Source organism: Homo sapiens, chromosome 5 (genome assembly GCF_000001405.40).
Source record: "Homo sapiens chromosome 5, GRCh38.p14 Primary Assembly".
Taxonomy (NCBI): Eukaryota; Metazoa; Chordata; class Mammalia; order Primates; family Hominidae; genus Homo; species Homo sapiens.
The window spans coordinates 157,742,778-157,763,524 of NC_000005.10; the positions used below are offsets into that span (position 1 = coordinate 157,742,778).

General features: G+C 43.7%; 1 protein-coding gene across 1 annotated transcript, besides 3 other annotated features; it reads left to right on the forward strand.

Annotated features, from left to right (window-relative positions):
- Positions 719–1,278: a silencer, noted in NCBI's record as "silent region_16563". NCBI's record gives its function as "represses an Ori minimal core promoter by ATAC-STARR-seq in GM12878 lymphoblastoid cells {active_cell/tissue: GM12878}" and the evidence as "EXISTENCE:reporter gene assay evidence [ECO:0000049][PMID:35858748]".
- On the forward strand, positions 935–17,932 carry LSM11 (LSM11, U7 small nuclear RNA associated). The gene is made up of 4 exons (NM_173491.4): positions 935–1,421; positions 8,613–8,752; positions 11,227–11,310; positions 12,077–17,932. Exons 1-4 carry the CDS (start codon positions 974–976, stop codon positions 12,485–12,487), a joined length of 1,083 nt encoding a protein of 360 aa, NP_775762.1. The 5' UTR covers positions 935–973; the 3' UTR covers positions 12,488–17,932.
- Positions 1,298–1,798: an enhancer, noted in NCBI's record as "H3K27ac hESC enhancer chr5:157171083-157171583 (GRCh37/hg19 assembly coordinates)". NCBI's record gives its function as "activates a minimal SCP1, AML or CMV promoter by ChIP-STARR-seq in naive and primed H9 embryonic stem cells {active_cell/tissue: H9 hESC(naive and primed)}" and the evidence as "EXISTENCE:reporter gene assay evidence [ECO:0000049][PMID:30033119]".
- Positions 19,307–19,356: a silencer, noted in NCBI's record as "silent region_16564". NCBI's record gives its function as "represses an Ori minimal core promoter by ATAC-STARR-seq in GM12878 lymphoblastoid cells {active_cell/tissue: GM12878}" and the evidence as "EXISTENCE:reporter gene assay evidence [ECO:0000049][PMID:35858748]".

Here is a 20,747-nt window from a genome sequence, read left to right on the forward strand (position 1 = left end):
CTCCAGTATTCTCTTGGACTTCCTAAGTCTTAAGGAAACTGAAATGTACACAAAGCAACTAGTACAGAGAATACTAGTTGATGGCAGTTTGAGAATGTGGTGACGGGCAAGTGATGTGTGGCCTGTAGGTGAGTGGAAACATTTTGGCTCTGCTGGATGAGAAGGTTATATCTGGGCCTTCCGCGAAGAGTAGACTGTCATTTTAAAATCAACCAAAAAATATTTTGCCGAACTGAGACTATAAAGTAGCAAGTGGTATGATCAGGTCTTGGGAATTTTCCATAGTTTCCTCCAAGAGCTGGATCTTCGTTTCTTCCAATTGGTTAGCAATGCTTAGAAAGACAGTGATATAATGAATTTTCTTTGATACTAAGCACAAATTTGTTTATGCACAGGGTATAGGAAATGGAGGACAGACACCCAGTATTGGCTGACATGCATCTATTATGAGCTCTGTAGGCAGTATCTCTCCATCCTGAGGTCAGTTCTATAAGGTAGGTGCTATTTATATCATATTTCAGACGAGAAACACGCTAAATACTTTGAGCCCAGATAGGCTATTCTTCCCACCCTATCAGTAGTACTCAGCATGGAAGCAAACTGAGACATTCATTGCCTTCCTCCAGACGCTTCCTGCCAGCTCAAGCTAGGATGCGATCCCGAGCTCATTCCCGGGGAACCCAGAGTATTAACAAACACCCTAAGTGATAATGATACAGACGGGGAAACTGCGCTGGAGCAGGTCAAGCAGCAGTCGACAGCGTTAACCTGTCAGCTATGGGAGGAGGCGGTGCGAGGCGCGGGCTGGTCGGAGCCGCGTACCACGCCCCCCGGCCCGGGTGGAACGAGGACAGGTGCTGCCCTCCCGCGGCCGCTTCGGCGCAGTGCAACCCCGCGCCGCGGCTGCGCAGTGCCGCCCTCTGGCGGCTTCGTTCCTTCTTCCCATCGGCCTCGGCTTGCGGGCCTTTCAAACATGGAGGAGCGGGAGCGGGGGGCGAGGTCGGCTGGCGCCGGGAGCCCCGCGCGCCCGCCCAGCCCGCGGCTGGATGTCAGCTCTGACAGCTTCGACCCGCTGCTGGCCCTGTACGCGCCCCGCCTGCCTCCCATTCCCTACCCCAATGCCCCCTGCTTCAACAACGTGGCGGAGTACGAGAGCTTCCTCAGGACCGGAGTCCGGGGCGGCGGGCGCGGGCGCGGGCGGGCTCGGGGCGCGGCCGCGGGCTCTGGGGTTCCCGCCGCACCCGGGCCCTCGGGCAGGACTCGTCGCCGCCCGGACGCGCCCGCCCCGGACCCCGAGCGCATCCAGCGCCTCCGCCGTCTCATGGTGGCCAAAGAGGAAGGGGACGGGGCCGCAGGAGCGGGCCGGAGGGGTCCGGGTCGGAGCAGGAAGGCGCCACGCAACGTGCTCACGCGAATGCCCTGTGAGTCCGCGGGCCGGGCGGGAAGCGGGGCAGCCGCCGTCCGGAAGCTGGCTGCCGAGGGGGCGTCTGCGGGGCGGCGGTGGCCGGGCGCGGGTCTGCACGTATTGCGGGAGCGCCTTGGTGAAAATTTGCGGGGATCATCAGTGACTATGGGGTGGATCTGCTTGAGTAATGTGGGTAATGAGGGCGTGGGGAGGGTCACCCTGAGTAAGAAAAGGGGCTGTAGGAGCAACAGAGGGAGAGTGGTAAGGCTGTAGTGGTCATAAGAAGCCGTGGGAAAGGTCTTCAGCGGTAATCGGGGCCCATGGAAGGGTCACAGAGGTGATGAGCCTGCCGAGAGGGTCTACAGGATTGATGGAGGACCTGGAGAGGTGGCGGGGCTACAGAGTTTGGGGGACATCATAGGGACGTCTACAGAGGTGATGAGAGGTCTTAGAGACCACAGTGAGAGGTAAGGTGGGGCGGAAAACGGGAGACGTGGGGGAGCGCACAGCCAATATTAGGGGAAGGAGAGTATTTGGTCAGTGGGATTTGAGGATGATCGGATGGAGTGTGGGGAGATTTGTTCAGATAGCACAGGCGCATAATCCCATAACCCCTGTACATTGACAGCTCCTTCTCGAGTGCGATAAGCAGAAGGGCTGCAGAGTCTTGATACACATATGTTCACATTACTAAGTCACAAGTGCTGAAATGCAGCAGGCACAGAATGCCACTAAAACACAGACGCTGTTTTACAGCCACTCTGCCTGGCTGGGTGCAGGACTGTGTCTGTCAGGCTCATATTACCATATGTGCAGGTTATTTTAAGTTCTAAAGGTGTAAATGGCACAAGGGAATTTCTTGGAGCCTCCTCATAGATCCTTAGAGTAAAGCTGTAAACAGCAGAGGCTCTAATGTGTGAGTTAGGTCTTGTATAAATGGAATAAAAACAGCCTAAGGTTATCTCTTTTGTCATCTGGCAAGCAGTTCTGACATCTGCCCTGTGAACACAATGACCTACTTAGCCATTCAAAGCATCTGTATCCTGATAATTAAATTGTTACCTTATTAAGTCACTGTCTTTTGGATGGAGAGGTGTGCCAAGCAAGGGACTGTTTTGCTTCATTCCTAGAAATTTGTTTATTAAGAGAGAACATCCTGAAACGCTCTGTGCTGTTCCGTGTGCCTTCGTTGGATGTCTTACCATGCCACAGCATCCCTGCCCAAGCTAGGATTTACCCCGGCCTGCTTGCCTGGCTGTAACACAAAGACAGTATGCTTGTTCCCAAAATGAGAGCAGTTTGGGGGACCTTAATTTGCCTATGCAATTTGCCACCATTAGGTAGTTGAAATGCACTCCAAGTCTCATTGCAACATTTATTTCTATTTTACCAGTTATTGCTTTGCTACCAAGATTGTCAAGGGAAAGGAATATTCCTGTGTATTGCTATGTGGTGGGTGGTTTTAGCTTTCCCTATAGAGCACTTTACTGTAATGGTATGACAGTGTGTGAAGACCAGCTTTGTCAACTTCTTATGATTAAGTATATATCCCTGGAATCAAGATCTCAGAGAATATGCCCTACATACTGAAAATTTTCACCATGGCACTGCAGACAGTTGAGTGTACATGAGAGAAAGGCATTGACGTCGCACAGAGTTGATGACCTTCAGAAAGCAAGAAAACAACAGAAACATGGGTGAGGATTGGATTCATTCAAGAAAGAGTTCCTACTTGAGGGTGAAGGGTGGGAGGAGGGTGAGAATCACAAAACTACCTATTGGGTACTGTGATCACTACCTGGGTGACAAAATAATTTGTGCACCAAACCCCAGTGACACACGATTTACACCTGCAACAAACCTTTCGTGTACCTCCTGATCCAAAAACAAAAGTTGGAAGGGGGGAAAAAAAAGAACTAGGTATGTTTTATATGTATGCCACAGTTTTAATTTAAAAAAATATATGCCTACTCTAAACTCTGATTGGATACAGTTGCTCAGGAAAATCAAAATATAGATACCAGTAAGATAATACTATTTGTGGACATATACAAATGCTTTCTGGAAAAAAATGCCTATGCATTTGAGAATGCATAATCCTTTGCAAAATATTCACATAAAATGTAAGTTCCATCAGGCTGTAACAGCAAGAAGAAGCTTTGTTAGGTCATATCATCAGTGAAACATAATGAAGAATACATGAGGAGCTACATTTTGTCGCTGACTTTAAAATGATGTATTTCATCAATTCAGATCCAAGTTACCCATCCAAATTCACAGAGAGGACAGTGTGGAATGTTTATGAAAAAACAAGGAGTGCAAAATTAAGTGTAATGGTGTTTTAACTGTAAAATATTTCACTTTGTATCTCTGTCATAGAATCTCTTTGAATTCCCTTGTGGAGCAGTTGTATTCTTTTCCTTGCAGTAATAAAATTTTAAAAGTAGCCAGGCACAGTGGCTCACACCTGTAATCCCAGCACTTTGGGAGGCCGAGGCGGGCAGAACACTTGAGGCCAGGAGTTCAAGACCAGCCTGGCCAACGTGGTGAAACCCTGTCTCTACTAAAAATACAAAAATTAGTTGGGCATGGCAGCATCTGCCTCTAGTTCCAGCTGTTCAGGAGGATGAGGCACGAGAATCGCTTGAACCCTGTAAGTGGAAGCTGCAGTGAGCCGAGATCATAGGGACATCATAGAGACCTCTACAGAGGTGATACGAGGTCTCAAAAAAAAGTAATAATAAAAGTATAGGAGGCTGTTGCAATACTGGGAATACTAAAGAAGAAAAAAAGCATAGGAGGAAAGGTTTTTCGTCATCATTAAGCCTAAGCCATCACTGATACCAACAAAGAACTCACACACAAGCTGTACTTGCAAGTGGAATGCAATTGCTTTTCCTCCTTTTTAATATTGACATGCCTATAGAGATGGTAAGACAAGACTAAAGAGCATTATCCTCTTTTCCACATAATTCTAGTGTCTATATTTCTCCTTAGTATCGCAGCACCATACCTAGCCCACGGTGGTTCTGGTTTATAATTGTGCTTCAAGCAAGCTTTTTCTAGGTATATCTGTCACTGTGAAATGAACTGGTGTGTTCAAGCTCACGTCTTGACATTATAAAGCTGTAAGAAAAAGTGTTATCATTACTTTGTTTTAGCTACAGGTGTGTTGGTGTGCAGCCTGTGCCGGTGTGAACAAGTGTGTGTGGTCAATCCAAAATGCATATGACATGCAGGGTTTGGCTCCTAGACCATTGTCTAGGTGAATGGCTTGTCTCCAGTTCCAAATTCAGTTTTCCTGCAGGGAGCCTACACAGTCCTTTTACTCGCACACATCCTGCTGAGAAGGATTTCAAAACAAACCTGATTTATTGGGCCTCTGACGTGATACCATGATTGAAAATTTGTTTGAGTCCTGTTGTTGTAGTTTACTTTGATTGCTGAAATAATTTCCCACAATATGGTGTCTTGATGTTTTCATTTTAATAAAGTGATATTCTTTGGATAACTTTGACTTCACTTCCTGCAAATAAAGAGCAAGAAAATAGGCAAAATCAAGAACATCTGAGCCCTGTGTACAGCAGTAAAATGAACTCTCAAATTTGAACAGCATCTCTGTTACACAGAGGTTGCCAAAAGGGCATGAGTATGACTTACATAAAACCGAGAACAGCGGTACTTAGGCTTCAGAAAAGGCCAAGCTTAAAATTCAGCCTTGTCACTTTTCTCAGCTCATTGCAGCTGTTTCCAGTCAGCTGTCTCCAGTGCAACTAAGGAATAGTCTCAGATGATTTCTGCACCACACTGCTGTGTGTGTGTGTGTGTGTGTGTGTGTGTGTGTGTTTAGGCCAGTTTGACATAGCATCACAATAGGGAAGACACTGATGTGCCTTTGCCGGGTCACTGATTCAAACATTGTACTTTCAATCTGTCATGGCACCCTTCTATAGAATGGCAACTAAAACTATTTTCAGAGAAAAGAGAAAATATTTTTCCATTGCAGACTCATAAGGTGACTGTTACAGTTTGTGGTTTCATTTCTCTGGGCCCTTAATAGGTTATGGAATCTGGGGAGCTGCCTTTGCCCTAATGAGCTAATAACTTTGTATATTTGGAGATATATATGTAGATACAGTTTTGTCCTTAAATCTTTGAATAGGTAGTTGTGGAGGCTAAAGCAACTCCATCTTGAATGCCAGTCCACCATGTTGACTTCTGATTAAACCCAGTTCTGGGAAGGCCTCTAAGATTTCCAATTTATCTGTTGTTTCTTGTGTAAGAGCATGTACTTACTGTAATTCCTGTCCTTACATGAGAACAACCTTGACGTTATCTTACTTCAATTGTCCTACACATCCCTTCTGAATCACCCTTTCCCTGTAGCATATAAGCCCTGCATCTGGGGGTCATGGCACGGGGATCCACCATCTTGTTTTGCCGCCACCTGAGACGCAGACGTGGCTTCTGTTCCTACATTCCTATTAAATATTTCTTTCTAAGGAAAACAAGAGTTACTGTAAGAGGCAAGTTTTAGGTCTTTAAAGAAGGGCATGATTGAGAACAGTTATTTTAAAATCAGGCTGTGATGGTATAATTTACATGTAGCAGGAGAAGGAAGAGTGGAGCTGAAAATGACCTGGATCTGGAAGGATGTGGCAATAGAGAAGGGGATTGGAAGAGTAACTTTCTCCAAAGATAAGGCATATGCTTTTTTGTCATATTTGGTCATAGAAACCTGACTCATATCCATTTGGAGCTTGCCACAGAGACGGCTGGAAAGAGAATGTGCACTCTGATTCAGAATGGGGAGCTCATTTTTGCCTTGGCGGTTTGCTCTGATAGGTGGTGCTAGTGTCGTACTTTTGATCACACAAGGATACAAGGAGAGCAATGCTTCCTGGAATTACACCTTATTAAATCTTTGGAAGAAAAAAATTAAAGGTACACGTTTGAGAAAGACCAATTGAAAGACCTGAATTTGCCATCTATTTAATTAGAGTAAGAGACTGTTGCTAAGATACCTGCTTGCCCTTTCTATTTTTGGAGGTGTGGGAAAGAAGTAATGTCCCTGTTTTTTTCCAAGTTAGAAAAAAATAGTCTTTCCACTCTTTGTATAAACATACATCATAGGGCAGGGGGCAGTATATATGTATGTGTAGGAAAAGAAATAATGCAAGCATGTGATCAGTTTCTAAGAAATTGAGTTATTGGGACTTAGTCCTGAAATAAATCTACAAGTTAACTATCTTAACCTCATTTTATGAATGAGGAAATTTGGAACTTAAAGAAAAAGTTATTCATCAGGTTCACACAACTAGTTATAATGACCTGAAAATTGTTTACAATGCTTGAATGCTTGATTTAATATGGCCTATAACACATATACACGCGCGCGCACGCGCGCACACACACACACACACACCCACACACCCATACACACCCTTAGCTAGCAAATGTACAAAGGACTTTAAAATACTGCTAGAAGAGAGGTAAATGATGATGGTCAGACCAGAATTCTCATGGTCTTTTCCAAAGTCACTGCTTCGTGTCGCTTCCAACTCCGAGTTATTCTCACACCGTTAATCTGACATAAACTCCTGCTAGTCTGCTAAGTCATTTTCTTCTAAGAATCTTTTATTAATTTATCACAGCCATCATTTATAAGCCAATCCATGACAGAGGGATAAGGTGGCTTCAGGAGGAACCAATTTAGTTATCCAAACTGAAGTGCAGGACTGTTGTTCTCCTTTATGTCACTAGAAACAAAGCAGGAGAGATTTTTCATTTGTCTACTGTCAATGCCAAATACTCTATATATCCAGACTTCTAAGACCTGACCAAAAATAAACTTTCTACAGAATTTTGCGTTGCAAACTTGGGAAAGAGTGAGACTGTGTACGCACGAGAAAGAGAGAGAGATTGGGGGTGCGTAGTGCGTGCCTGTAGTCCCAGCTACTCAGTGGGTTGAGCTAGGGGGATCGCTTGAGCCAGGGAGGTCAAGGCTGGAGTGAGCTGTGATTGTGCCACTGCACTCCAGCCTGGGTGACAGTGAGACCCTGTCTCAGGAAAAAAGAATGTGTACGGCTTTCTTTTGGGAGGTTTTATATACCATAGCCAGCATATTGTGAGAGCTGAGTTAACATGAAATAATAAAAATAAAATTCATCTTTCCTCCCACGCTCTGAGAATCCTTCATAATAAAAGCTGAAATTTATAGTCTCAATATTCTTCCTATGAGTCATTATCCTGCTCTCTTCACATGATGCTTATTAGTAGTGTCATAGGAGCCAGATACTCAGCCAGGTGCCTTTTACACTGTCAGGGCTTGGGCCAGAACCAGTGCTTTTCCTCCCAGAAACACCAGTGAGTCCAGAAAGCTTGTGCATGGAGTAGCTTTGGTGGGGTCAAAGGCCTTTCTTTCTGACAGGATTGTACATGTTTAAGGGCAGAGTGCAGTTTGTTTCCTTTGAACATGTAAACAAGGTTTTTGTTTTTTTGGAAGACTCAAGCTGGATATGTGATTCATGAATTGTCTTAAGGCACAGAATTGAGAAGGATCTCGCTGTTAATGTATACATTTAATGTTTGCGTGCCCGTGTGTGTGTGTGTTTCTCAAGATGGAGTCTTGCTCTGTTGCCCAGGCTGGAGTGCAATGGTGCGATCTCGGCTCACTGCAACTTCCACCTCCTGGGTTCAAGCCATTCTCCTGCCTCAGCCTCCTGAGTAGCTGAGATTACAGGCATGGGCCACCATGCCTGGCTAATTTTTGTATTTTTAGTGGAGATGGGGTTTCACCATGTTGGCCAGGCTGATCTCAAACTCCTGACCTCAGGTGATCCGCCCACCTCAGCATCCCAAAGTGCTGGGATTACAGACGTGAGCCACCACGCCCGGCCAACCCCAAAAGTTAAGTGATAGTGCATGTTAAAATCAGTGACATCGTGGAATAAGAGATATACCGGTAGTGAAACATTTGGCTGATATTCATACATATGGATGATCCACATTCTGTTGGAATCTAGTCTTGTGTCAGTGTGTGTTGGCCGTACGAGCCATGTTGCCCATTGGACCTTCCTGTTCCAATAGTGAGATTGTCACTCTACCATGGGCCACATGTTGCTGGCCGAAGTTGGGTGGTCGTGGCTTAATTCTGGGAATGAGGGCAGATATTAAAACTGTCCTGACTGTTCTTCTCTTGTTTCAGTGCACGAAGGCAGCCCTCTGGGTGAACTCCATCGCTGTATCCGTGAGGGGGTGAAGGTGAATGTTCACATCCGCACTTTCAAGGGACTTCGGGGCGTCTGTACAGGCTTCCTTGTTGCATTCGACAAGTTCTGGAATATGGTAATTAAGCCTTTCTCAAGGGGCTGGAGAACCTCCTACAGATTATATCTTCTATAATATTTAAAGGACCTGAGTAACTGCATTAAGTAAAACCCAAAAAATAACTTCTTAGAAGAACTAGAATTTTTGCATACTTTTGGGCAACAACAAGAAAAGGTCTTTTTATTGCTTCCTTCTCCTTAAGGCAGTGGCTCTTAACCAAGGTAATTTTGTTCTTCCTTCACTCCCAGGAACATTCATCAATGTCTGGGGACATTTTATTGTCACCACTATAGGAGAGGGTACTACTGGCATCTAATTGGTAGAGGCCAGGGTTGCAGCTAAACAGTCTACAACACACAAGATAGTCCCTCAACAACAAAGAATTATCCAATCTGAAAAGTCCTTAGTGCCAGGGTTGAGAAACCCAGCCTTAAGGACCAATTATTTTATCGGTTTAGTAATTTTTAGTTGATTTTCTACCAACCATTCTTTCATTAATTAAGAAAAACATTTATTGACTTCCCATTTTGGCTGAACCCCATGCTAGGTGCAAAAGTTTCAGAAAGGAACTTGCACTTTACAGTACATGGGAAGGTAAATAAGGATAGAGGTGAAGCAGACATCAGTAAACAAAGCATTTTGCATGATGTCTTTTTTTTTTTTTTTTGAGACAGTGTTTTGCTCTTGTCACCCAGGCTGGAGTGCAGTGGCACAATCTCAGCTCACTGCAACCTCCGCCTCCTGAGTAGCTGGGATTACAGGCCCCTGCCACCATGCCCAGCTGATTTTTGTATTTTTAGTAGAGACAGGGTTTCACCATGTTGGCCAGGCTGGTCTTGAACTCCAGACCTCAGGTAATCCGCCTGCCTCAGCCTCCCAAAGTGCTGGGATTACAGGCATGAGCCACTGCGCCCGGCCACATGGTGGTTTTATAATGAGGGAGTGTGCCACACTTCCTAGCCTTCTAGAGGCTTACTTTTTTTCTAGACATTTGTAGGAGAGAAGGGATATGTAATAGCACAACTATAATTTGAGGTAGTTAAGAACTACTAGGCTGCACGCGGTGGTTCACACCTGTAATCCCAGCACTTTGGAAGGCCGAGGCAGGCGGATCGCCTGAGGCCAGGAGTTCAAGACCAGCCTGGCCAACATAGGGAAACCCCCATCTCTACTAAAAATACAAAATTAGCCAGACATGGTGGCACAAGCTTGTAATCCCAGCTACTCAGGAGGCTGAGGGAGGAGAATCACTTGAAGCTGGGAGGCGGAGGTTGCAGTGAGCCGAGATCATGCCACTGCACTCCAGCCTGGGTGGCAGAGCGAGACTCTGTCAAAAAAAAAAAAAAAAAAAAAAGAACCACCAGAGCTTTCTGGTGTTTCTTTTCCATATGGTCTTCTATCTCCAACTTTCCTTTTCCCTGTGCTTTATCCCCATCCACGCATCCTCCTGGATAAGAACAGTAGCTGCTAACATATATTGAGTACCTGCTATGTGCCAGGTACTATACTGAGGGCTTCATATATTATCTCAATGAATGAGTTGTGGGTACTATTACTGTTCCATTTCACAAATGAAGAAATTGATTCTAGAGAGATTGGAATGTTGGTCGCAGATCACACTGTTAGTAAGTGGAAGTGCCAAACTTTTTCCTCGGCCTAACTCCTAAAACCATGTTTTTAACCATTAGGGAATTTGAATCCTAGCATCATCACTTGGTAACTGTGTGACTGTAAGCAAGATAATTTCTCTGAGCCTCAGTTTTCTCATTTCCAAAATGCAGGGAAAAATGTTTTATTATGATCTTTTTACCTTTGAAGAATTGAAGAGAATGTGTTAGATGATAGTGGTGATTATAACAGTACTGTCAGCTTCTATTTGTAGGGTGATTTACACTTTTCAAAGGAATTTGTCTTGTACTTCTCATTTGGTCCTAACAGCTGTCCTGTCGAGGTTGCTCTCGGTGATGAGAACTCACCAGCAATTCTGTGTGTAACCCTGGTTAATCTCTGTTAATTGCTTTCATAAGACATAGAAACTGAAGCGGGTAAAGAAGCAGTAATGTTCCTCAAAGTGGGATCTAAAGCCATCCTGCATCAGAATCACCTGGGGCTTCTGGTTGAAACAAAAGGTTCCTGGGCTTCATCCCAGACCTACCAAAACAGAATCTCCAGCAGAATAGCTTTGGGTTCGTATTTTAATAAACCTCCTAGATATTCTTGCACACTGAAATTTAAGACCTTCTACCATGCAGTCATAAAGGCCCTTACCATCCATAGGTGAAACCCATCTTATATGGTGATAGCAGCTTAAAAATATTACACAGAAGGTACCAGGTGTCACCATTTTCTTCTGCCTAGGAGCTGAGTCATCTGTTAAGTGTAGTTCTGCTCTGAATAGATGTTACTCTGCCTTTTTTTTTTTCCCTGAAAAAGCTATACAAATAATAATTTTAATTCTGTCTAATGTTTTTCCTTTTGGGCTGTTCCTCTAGGCACTTACTGATGTGGATGAGACCTACCGAAAACCTGTCCTAGGCAAAGCATATGAACGGGATTCTTCACTGACTCTCACTAGGGTAGGCAGTTTTCCCCTGACCTCCTGAGTAGCCATCATGCTTTCCAGCTTAGGAATTAAGATCCCTGAGCCCAGTGACTAGGATTTCCTAGAGGGAAATCTCTGTTGCTATAAACCAGCTGTGCCTGTACCAAGGTATTCCTTAGTTCCTCTTTTCATGCTTCCAGTGAATCTCAAGTGAGTCTGTGCTTGTAACCTGCATATTATTTGAGGAGCAAGTTGTCTCTTACAACACCTGAAAGTCTTTCAGCTTTATACCACAGAAATAAGCCTTTTCTCTTGACATATGTATTATGTGCATTATAGTTAGAAATAGGAAATTTATGGCCAGGCGTGGTGGCTCATGCCTGTAATCCCAGCACTTTGGGAGGCCGAGGCGGGTGAATCATGAGGTCAGGAGATCGAGACCATCCTGGCTAACACGGTGAAACCCCATCTCTACTAAAAATACAAAAATTAGTTGGGCAGGGTGGCAGGCGCCTGTAGTCCTAGCTACTTGGGAGGCTGAGGCAGGAGAATTGCTTGAACCTGGGAGGTGGAGGTCGCAGTGAGCTGAGATCGCACCACTGCACTCTAGCCTGGGCGACAGAGTGAGACTCCGTCTCCAAAAAAAAAAAAAAAAAAAAAGATTTATTACTAACTTTTAAAAAATTGCAAAGCAAGGAGTCCACAGAACATAATTAAAGAATTTGGTCTTTTTCTGTATGTTGAAAGAGGGTGATGAAGGCTAAAGAGAAGGCTAATATTTATCATTGTTTGCTTTATAGCTATTTGATCGGCTGAAACTTCAAGATTCCTCCAAGAAGGAAGCAGATTCTAAGTCTGCAGTTGAAGATTCCACTCTGTCTAGATACTCACAGACATCCACTTGGAAGTTGGCTTCAGTGTGGGGAAGAGCAGACACTGGCCGGGGCTCACACAAGCGTTCCCGCTCTGTCCCTTCTTCCCTGCAGGCCTCTGCAAGGGAGGAGTCCAGGTCAGAGCTGTCAGGGAGGACTACACGGACAGACGGCTCCAGTGTGGGAGGTACCTTTTCCAGGGCTACCACCCTTTCCAGAGGCCAGTCCCGTAAGAAAAAGCGAAAGCCCAAAGTGGATTACCAGCAGGTATTCACTCGACACATAAATCAGATTTTCATTCGAGGCGAGAATGTCCTGCTGGTTCATCTTGCACAGTGACCAGCTCAGCCTGAGCTTTGGTTTTTAGAAATAAAGTGCATGAATTGCTGCTATGCTGTATCCTAGTATCCCAGTGAAACTCTGAGTTGGAATGATTCCCTCTGGTCCTGCATATGCAGAGGACGGAGCAGGCTCAGCCCCCTGGAAGATGAGCTCAAGGGGAGGACAGGCCTTGGGAGGGCAGGCGTTTGCATTAATATCAAGGCAAAAAGCATTCATAGATACATGCATCTGATTTGGTATTGTGATTTACTTCAGACCCTGAAACCAAATATCTGATCTTCCATTAGACTTAGGGGTCATGATATGAGTGGAATTTACATTTTAGATACTATAGGGGAAAGAAAAGTCTCAAAAAGAAGTATTGCATGTCTAAAAGCTAGTGCCCTGAGTACTCATGAATTCGATTCCAAGAGTAGTGGTGTAAATTGCCTTGGAGCCCTGCATCCACGTCTTGTAACTAACTTTTGAATTTTGCCTGACATGATTCTCTCTTGATGAAGAAATGACATATATTATCTTTGAATATCTACAAGGAAAGTTACCAACTTATGTAGGGGTGAAATTTGGATAGGCGGTATGCTCAAAGCAGCCAGCAATGAGTGCTCTGTTTTGATCCTTCTTCTTATTATGGAAAGGAGTACAGGACCTCTTCAGTCTTCCCCTTACCAGAGGTAGCCTCTGCAAATGGCATACCAGATGGGACTCTAAGATGCTTGTGTGGTGGCTTCTTGTCCTTCTCTTTGACTTCTGTGGCATGGTGCTAGTGCATGTACCCTGTGGTATTGCCCCTCTGTCCGTAGTGTGAACTGTCCTGTGAGCTTTATGTCAGGAGACTGTGACCTTCATGTCCAGCTTCAAAGAGTTGTGCATGAACTCGGTAATACACATCACACGGCTGAGAGTCCCCTTTCCAGGCAGGGCCAGCATGTGTAGAATATCTTTCAGAATATGGTTTCACCATGAAACAGGGGTGGTAGATTTATTCCCTTGTGTCAGGCCAAAGAAGTTCTTACAAAGTACAGTGGGTAGTGTCTAAAGCGACACTTTACTCACAGCCTGGCTTGAGTCAACAGGAACACCATAGCACCCACAAATACTTCTACTTGAATCATATTCTGTGCTTTTTCAATCACTAGTGCAGAATAGGCTGCATTTGACACAGACTGTTAGGCAATATTGATTTTTTTGTTTTGTTTTTATTTGGTTTTATCTGAGATAACTTATGTTCAAGGTGAGAATAAGAAATAGCCAACTAGTTAAAATGTATGAAAAGAAAACTTTCCCCTGCTGTATTTGTTGTGTAACATAAATAAGCCTTCTGAGAAGCAGGGTGAATAAAGTTTAGGGAGCTGGGACACCTGGTCCTGCTAGCTGGACCACTGGCTCATCATGCAATGAAAAGGTGAGCAGACTTAACCCCTCCGTGCCTCAGCTTTTTCCCCACAGACACCTACCTCACAGGGGCATTGAGAAAAAAAAAATGAAGGCATTTTACAGTCTCTAAACATCTTTAAGTGCCATGAGTAATTTTTCCTGACTCTGTTTCATAGCTTTGTAAGAATTCTGTGTCTTTATAAGACACAGAAGCAAGGCAGGTGCTACATAAAAAAGTAATCTCAGCCAGGCACGGTGGCTCACGCCTGTAATCCCAGCACTTTGGGAGGCTGAGGCGGGTGGATCACAAGGTCAGGAGATCAAGACCATCCTGGCTAACACGGTGAAACCCTGTCTCTACTAAAAATACAAAAATTAGCCGGGCGTGGTGGCGGGCGCCTGTAGTCCCAGCTACGTGGGTGGCTGAGGCAGGAGAATGGGGTGAACCCGGGAGGCGGAGCTTGCAGTGAGCCAAGATTGCACCACTGTACTCCAGCCTGGGCGACAGAGCAAGACTCTGTCTCAAAAAAAGGAAAAAAAAAAAAAGTAATCTTAGGGTTCATAGTTATGATCCTGTTGTAACTATCTTCGGAAGGCAGCAGTATCTTCTGGAACTTCCATATTCCATTCCTTCCTCCTAAGGGACAATGGAAGTTCTCAGAAGAGTATCTTCAGTAAGAGGAGAGTAACTTTTTTTTTGCTGCTCCCGCTATATCCCAGGCCTCACCCTTTTCTGATCATTATCAGAAAGAATCCCCTGAACTTTTCAAGGGGTTTATATGGTAGCACCAAATGGAGAATGAGCATCTAAAAATGACACATCCCGAAAGGGCAATCTGTGGAAGTTTGTTGTTTGTTTGTTTTTATTTTTAAATGCATTGTAAAGTGTACTCTAGAGCCAGATCAGGTGCACTAAAGTTTATAGAGGTTCCAGTTTACAAACTCAAGTGAACAGTAATCTTTGGAAGCTGCCAGTCTAAATTCTAAATAGTGTATCTGAAATCTCAGTTCCCAAAATAGTTGTCAGGTTTAATCATCAGGCAACACTGCGTATACCTGTGTGGCTATCCTCATCTGCCTGCCCTCTCATCCCTCGGCTAGAATGATGTACTCTACTTTCCCAATAAGGTAGAAATTTGGAATCCAACGGAATATAATCAGTTTTCATTCATTCCAGTGCCTAGTTAAATCTAACCTGACTTAAACATATGCCTGTTTTTATGTTTACCTATAATTTTCATATAGCCGTATAAGGATTGATTTACCATTTTTTGCCCAACATGACAATTCTGGCTATGAAAATTATGTTTAAACTGTGTATGATCTATTTTATGTGCTCTATGTTCCCATTTGTTTGTTTGGTCTGGACAGTGGTTCTGGAATGAATTCTATCTAGTAAATTAGTAAATGTGCTGTTTTGTATAAAGCATGATAATTACTTTTTAACAGAAGTTCATTTTTAAAGATTACTCCCTTTTCTTTCTCTCTTTTTTTTGAGACAATTTCTCTCTTGTTGCCTAGGCAGTGCAGTGGCGCGATCTCAGCTCCCTGCAACTTCTGCCTCCCAGGTTCAAGCGATTCTCCTGCCTTAGCCTCCTGAGTAGCTGGGTCAGCCACCATGGCTGACTCATTTTTTGTATTTTTAGTAGAGAAGGGGTTTTACCGTGTTAGCCAGGCTGGTCTTGAACTCCTGACCTTGGGTGATCCACCTGCCTCAGCCTCCCAAAGTGCTGGGATTACAGGCGTGAGCTATCCCGCCCGGTCCCCTTTTCTTTATTATCGAAGATATTGTTTAAAAGAAAGAAAAAGTAGGTCCCAATAATATATGTGCTATTCAAAAAATGTGATCATTTAGGACATTATCACAAGTTGCTATGGAAATAACTGAAGACTTCCTCAGGAGAAGGAAAGAAAATGAGGAACATAATGATAGAGTCGGGGAACTCCCACTAGCTCACCTGAGGGGGGCTCGATGCAGCTGAAATACTGAATACTGAAATACTAGAAACCAACAAAACTGGTTTCTAGAATTCTCCAGGGATTTGGGCTTGGGAAACTTGGTAAGAATAGTTTTTATTTTTGAACATTCAACTTTGGTTCTTCAAAGTAATCTTTAAACATGGGAATATGTTTTCAAGACAATTTATAGGACATACTTATGTAGTTGGTGAGGTCTTCTCAAAAGTATCTACCTTTGTTAGATAATAACAAGTGATTAAGAAAGGGGAGATATGGTTTTATACTCATAACAATTTCCTGTGCCATTCTCTGTACACAGAGGTGATTCATTTACTCTCCCATTAGTAGAACTTGCACTTTGGGCTGTCTGTTCTAGTATTTGGGAAGTGTTTATGCTTCCTTCCAGGGACCATCTTATGATCAGAGGCAGGATGTCTGTGAGATGGTTAGCTAGAGTTAGCAGTGTCCGGGGAGAGTGGCTTTAGACCAGTCAGTACCTTGCTCTTTGTGCATGGTGCATGTCAAGTCAGGAAGCCAAGAAACCGTTGGCATTAAAATCTAGATGCATAGAGATCCTTGCTATGAGTTGTGGATAGGAGTGGCTCCATCTATCCTTGTGGTGAAAGAGTCCAGGAGCTCCTTTAGAGATTGTCAAGTCCTGAGCGATGAGCTGCCCTTAATCCTCAGAAGCCTTACAAAAATTGAGATGTACCATTTCTACCCTTTGAGAAAAAAGAAATAGAAACTTACTTGATGCAGAATGGATATTTATATTTCTGCTTGCACCATTTCCATAGCAGCTGACAAAGGCAAAATCATGAAATAGAATCATTTCTATAAATTGCTTCTTTAAGTTTTCTCTAAATTTTGCCTCTAGGAAAAAATTAAAACTATTCAATGACAGCTAGCTGTCACTGGTGCTACCCCAAAGCTTTCCAATCTTTTATGTATTTTTTGTGAATGAAACTGTTGCTGTAGGAAAGTCAAGGTTCATGTAAGAGTATCGTGGTGTAAATATAATGGTTTCACAGCTGTTTGAATTTTTCTTTTCCTGTGCCAGATATAGAATGCAGTCAACCCTTTTTCAGTAACTTATGTTCACCAGTCTGTGCTTTTCTTCTCCCAGAAGGCTTTTCTTAGTGGTTGTAAATGCAAGAATCCTGAGCCCTGTGTTGCAAAGGTGGGTGGTCTGTCAGCACTTTCTGGCAAATTGAGTTGATGGATTTAAGATAAGCCTTTGGGGTTCCTGTCAGTTTTCTGGGCCCTGAGGAAGGGTTGGGCCTCCTTTACTCTCAGTATTTTGAGTGTTTTTCAAATGTTTGTACGTTATCTTGCACTGCTCTAATAAAAATGAAAGCTCTCTGACAAGAAATAGTTCTGGATGGTTTGAAGATCTGCGGGGAAAAATAAGTGTGCACCTGAGACCTTCAGTTAGTCTTTTATTTATTTAGAATAAAAAATAGTTTGATAACCTACCAGAGTTAGTGCTTCTTTAAAAACACTCCTTGGAAAGATGGGGACTGTCCCTTAGGAAAGCCATAAAAGTGATTCCCAATACTTTGCAATTGCTTTTGATTTTTAGTCCTTTGGAACAAATGTGTGATGTTATGTCTGATGTTGTGTTTTTAGAGCTGTGAAAAGTCTGAAAAATTTCAAGGGGTATTATTTAAATGATGATTATCTGGCTGAATTATGTGTGAGCTAGAATCTAGGGTAGCTGTCCACTTCTTTTTCTGTTGTCCTGACAGTAAAGCAAATAGTAAGCCATGTCTTGAAAGTGATTTGCTTGTTTCATACTGACATCTAAAGACATCAGCCTTCTCTTTGGCAACCCTGGGGATACTCCTCTGCACCATAACTTATTAATGTTTTTTTAGACAAGGCTAAACCTGAATGACTCTACGTATCTATAGTTTCACTGCTCATATACCAGCTGCTACAAGAAAAACCATGACTTGTAAGTTTGTCTTTACTCCTAATTGCTAAATTAACTGAAACCCTTCCTGTCTAGGGAGAATTGCTGCTAGTAAGGTCAGTTTGCAATGTTCAGCTTTAGATATGTGTCGTAATGGGAGTCTGAAAACTGTAATAAACTGTATTCATATCCTGGCTGCTTTGTCTCTGTTGATTTAGGGGGGTGGGAGAGAGGAGGCAGGGGAGTCTGTTACCAAGTGAAGACACCTGTCTAGAAAGTTAGACCATCTCAAGCCTTCTGCATTTACATTATTGTAACCTTGTACCTTTTCTTTACCAAAGTCCACACATCTAAGTCACCACTCTTGCCGGGCGCAGTGGATCACGCCTATAATCGTGGCACTTTGGGAGTCCGAGGCGGGTGGATCACCTGAGATTGGGAGTTCGAGAACAGCCTGGCCAACATGGTGAAACCCTGTCTCTACTAAAAATACAAAAATTAGCCAGGTGTGGTGGCGGGCACCTGTAATCCCAGCTGCTCGGTAGGCCGAGGCAGGAGAATCACCTGAACCCGGGAGGCAGAGGCTGCAGTGAGCTGAGATCATGCCACTGCACCCCAGGTTGGGCCACAGAGCAACACTCAGTCTAAAAAAAGGAAACAAAAATAGCTGGGCATGGTGGCAGGCACCTGTAGTCCCAGCTACTCGGGAGGCTGAGGCAGGAGAATCACTTGAACCCAGGAGGCGAAGGTTGCAGTGAGCTGAGATTGCACCACTGCACTCCAGCCTGGGCGATAGAGCGAGGCTCCATCTCAAAAAATAAAAATAAGTAAAATAAAAATAAAACACCACTCTTGAGGTGGCTTTTTTCTTCCAAGTTTACTTGAAGTTCATGCTTAGGAAAGGAACTTGGCCCACATTCTGAATTATCTCCTCTAAGCTGCAAGCAGTGGTAATTGCCCTGTGAATTTATTCTACCTAATAGCTCACTGGCACTAGTCCATTCTGTTCATGATCTGCTGAAATCACCATTCATTCTGCTCCCTCTGAGTGTTTTACCACATTTGGCAAATCAATCTTCACATTCTTCCAAAAATATTTAAATTTTCTACCAGCTTTCCACTGTGCATGTACAGGAAGTTTAGCTGTCCCAGATTTGCCACATTGATTACTTGGATCTCTTCTGTGTGCTTCCAGAACTGAATCACCTGGTAAGGTAGACAAGAAAAGTCACATTTATTCTTAGAGGGGGAAACCTGAAGTTAACTGTCAAGACCCAGTTTCTCACTTTAAAGGATCCATTAACTTGAGCCCAGCTGACACACACCAAGTTGCTAACTGCTGCAGTAGAAAGGGAGGCAAGACCCGTGTGCTGTATGTCTGGTCCTTGCCTGTTTGTTTTGAATCTCAGATACTTCTGATTAAATGAGAATGTCCTAATTAATCAAAGTAATGGCAAAAGAGTCAGCTAGCTTGACACTGTAAATGTACAGTGACAGTTAAATGTTGGCAGGGAGTGGAGGCCAGTGGAAAGAGACACATCGATCACTCTCCCTGTGCTTCCAAGATAGGAGTGGCAAGCAGAAAAAAATGCCAACCGTTCTCTCCTTGGTTATAGATGAAGAGTTTTTCAGTCTGCTCAGTTACCACTAGGTGGCAGTGGGTTAAAGAAAACTGCTTACCTAGAGGTCCCAGAAGGACCGGAGTCTCTAGTCTCCAGTCACTGCTACAATTTATCGTTAAATGCTCACCAGTCAGGACTGAGTTAATTAAGGAAAAACAAGCTATAATCAACCCAAGTGGCAATATAAACGTTTCTTTTCAATATTGAATTTACCTAATTCGAAGCTCGGGAAGCCTGACTGATGGCGTTCAGGTAGTGAATGTGCTTGGGGAAGAGTGGCAAAGCGGGATTTCTCAGTGTCTGCTGTTTAAGGGGTCTCTCACTACTCTTCCATCCTGAGACTCCATCTCAGAAACTGTCAACTCCATCCAGCCTCTTCCCACCTGCTGCCAAGGGATTGCCCTGGGAAGCCTCTCTTAAAGCCCTTGTTTCTTAGCAACTGTCTCACTTTGAAACAATTCAGTTCTACCCAATGTTGCCTGAAAGCCCATTTGTGAGAGAGGTTGCAGCTCTCTTATGATTCTATGGCCAGAATTGAGCCTCCACTCCAAGATCGTGAGCAAATATGCTCGAGCCAGAGGGAACTTTCTAATAAACAGAGGAAAACCTGTTTTAGGTTGAGATACTGGCGGGCAGAAGTGGGGGGTGGGCAGTGCTAGTCAGGCTCCTCGCACATCACACCAAGACCTTCAAAAAGCCTTTCCCTCCCTACCTCAAGCATAATTTTTCAGCAGCCTATTCCTGTGGTGTAGAGGAATAACAGTATGTGAGATAATAGTAGATACTGGTCTTCAAATGTTTAAAAATAAGGTTATAATAAAGAGCCATTTTGATCCTTGGCAACTTGCACCACATTTCACTTAGTCACGCTGTGTGAAGAGGCAGAAAACAGATCATGCAATAAGAGACACGGTCCGTTTATAACATTTCATCCCTGCATTAAGCATATTACATGCATTACCTTGTTCAGATACCACCATGAGAGGAAGACTCTATCCCCTTGATATATGTGAGGAAACTAAAGCTCAGAGAGGTTATGTAAGTTGCTAAAATCTCTCTACTAATAAATAGTGAATTGAGGGGTCTATCTAGGTCTCACTGACTCTTAAGTTTATTGCCAGCCAATTTCACCTTTAAAATATTAAGTTTCTCAGACATTAACCAGAAAAATTTGAGAGTAAGCTGAGCCATCTCCCTAAACTAATCAGAAATCAGAAAGCTGAATTAAAATGCAGCATGGCTGGGTGCGGTGGCTCACGCCTGTAATCCCAGCACTTTGAGAGGCCAAGGCAATCAGATCACAAAGTCAGGAGTTCAAGACCAGCCTGGCCAACATGGTGAAATCCTGTCTCTACTAAAAAAAATACCAAAAAAAAAAAAAAAAAAA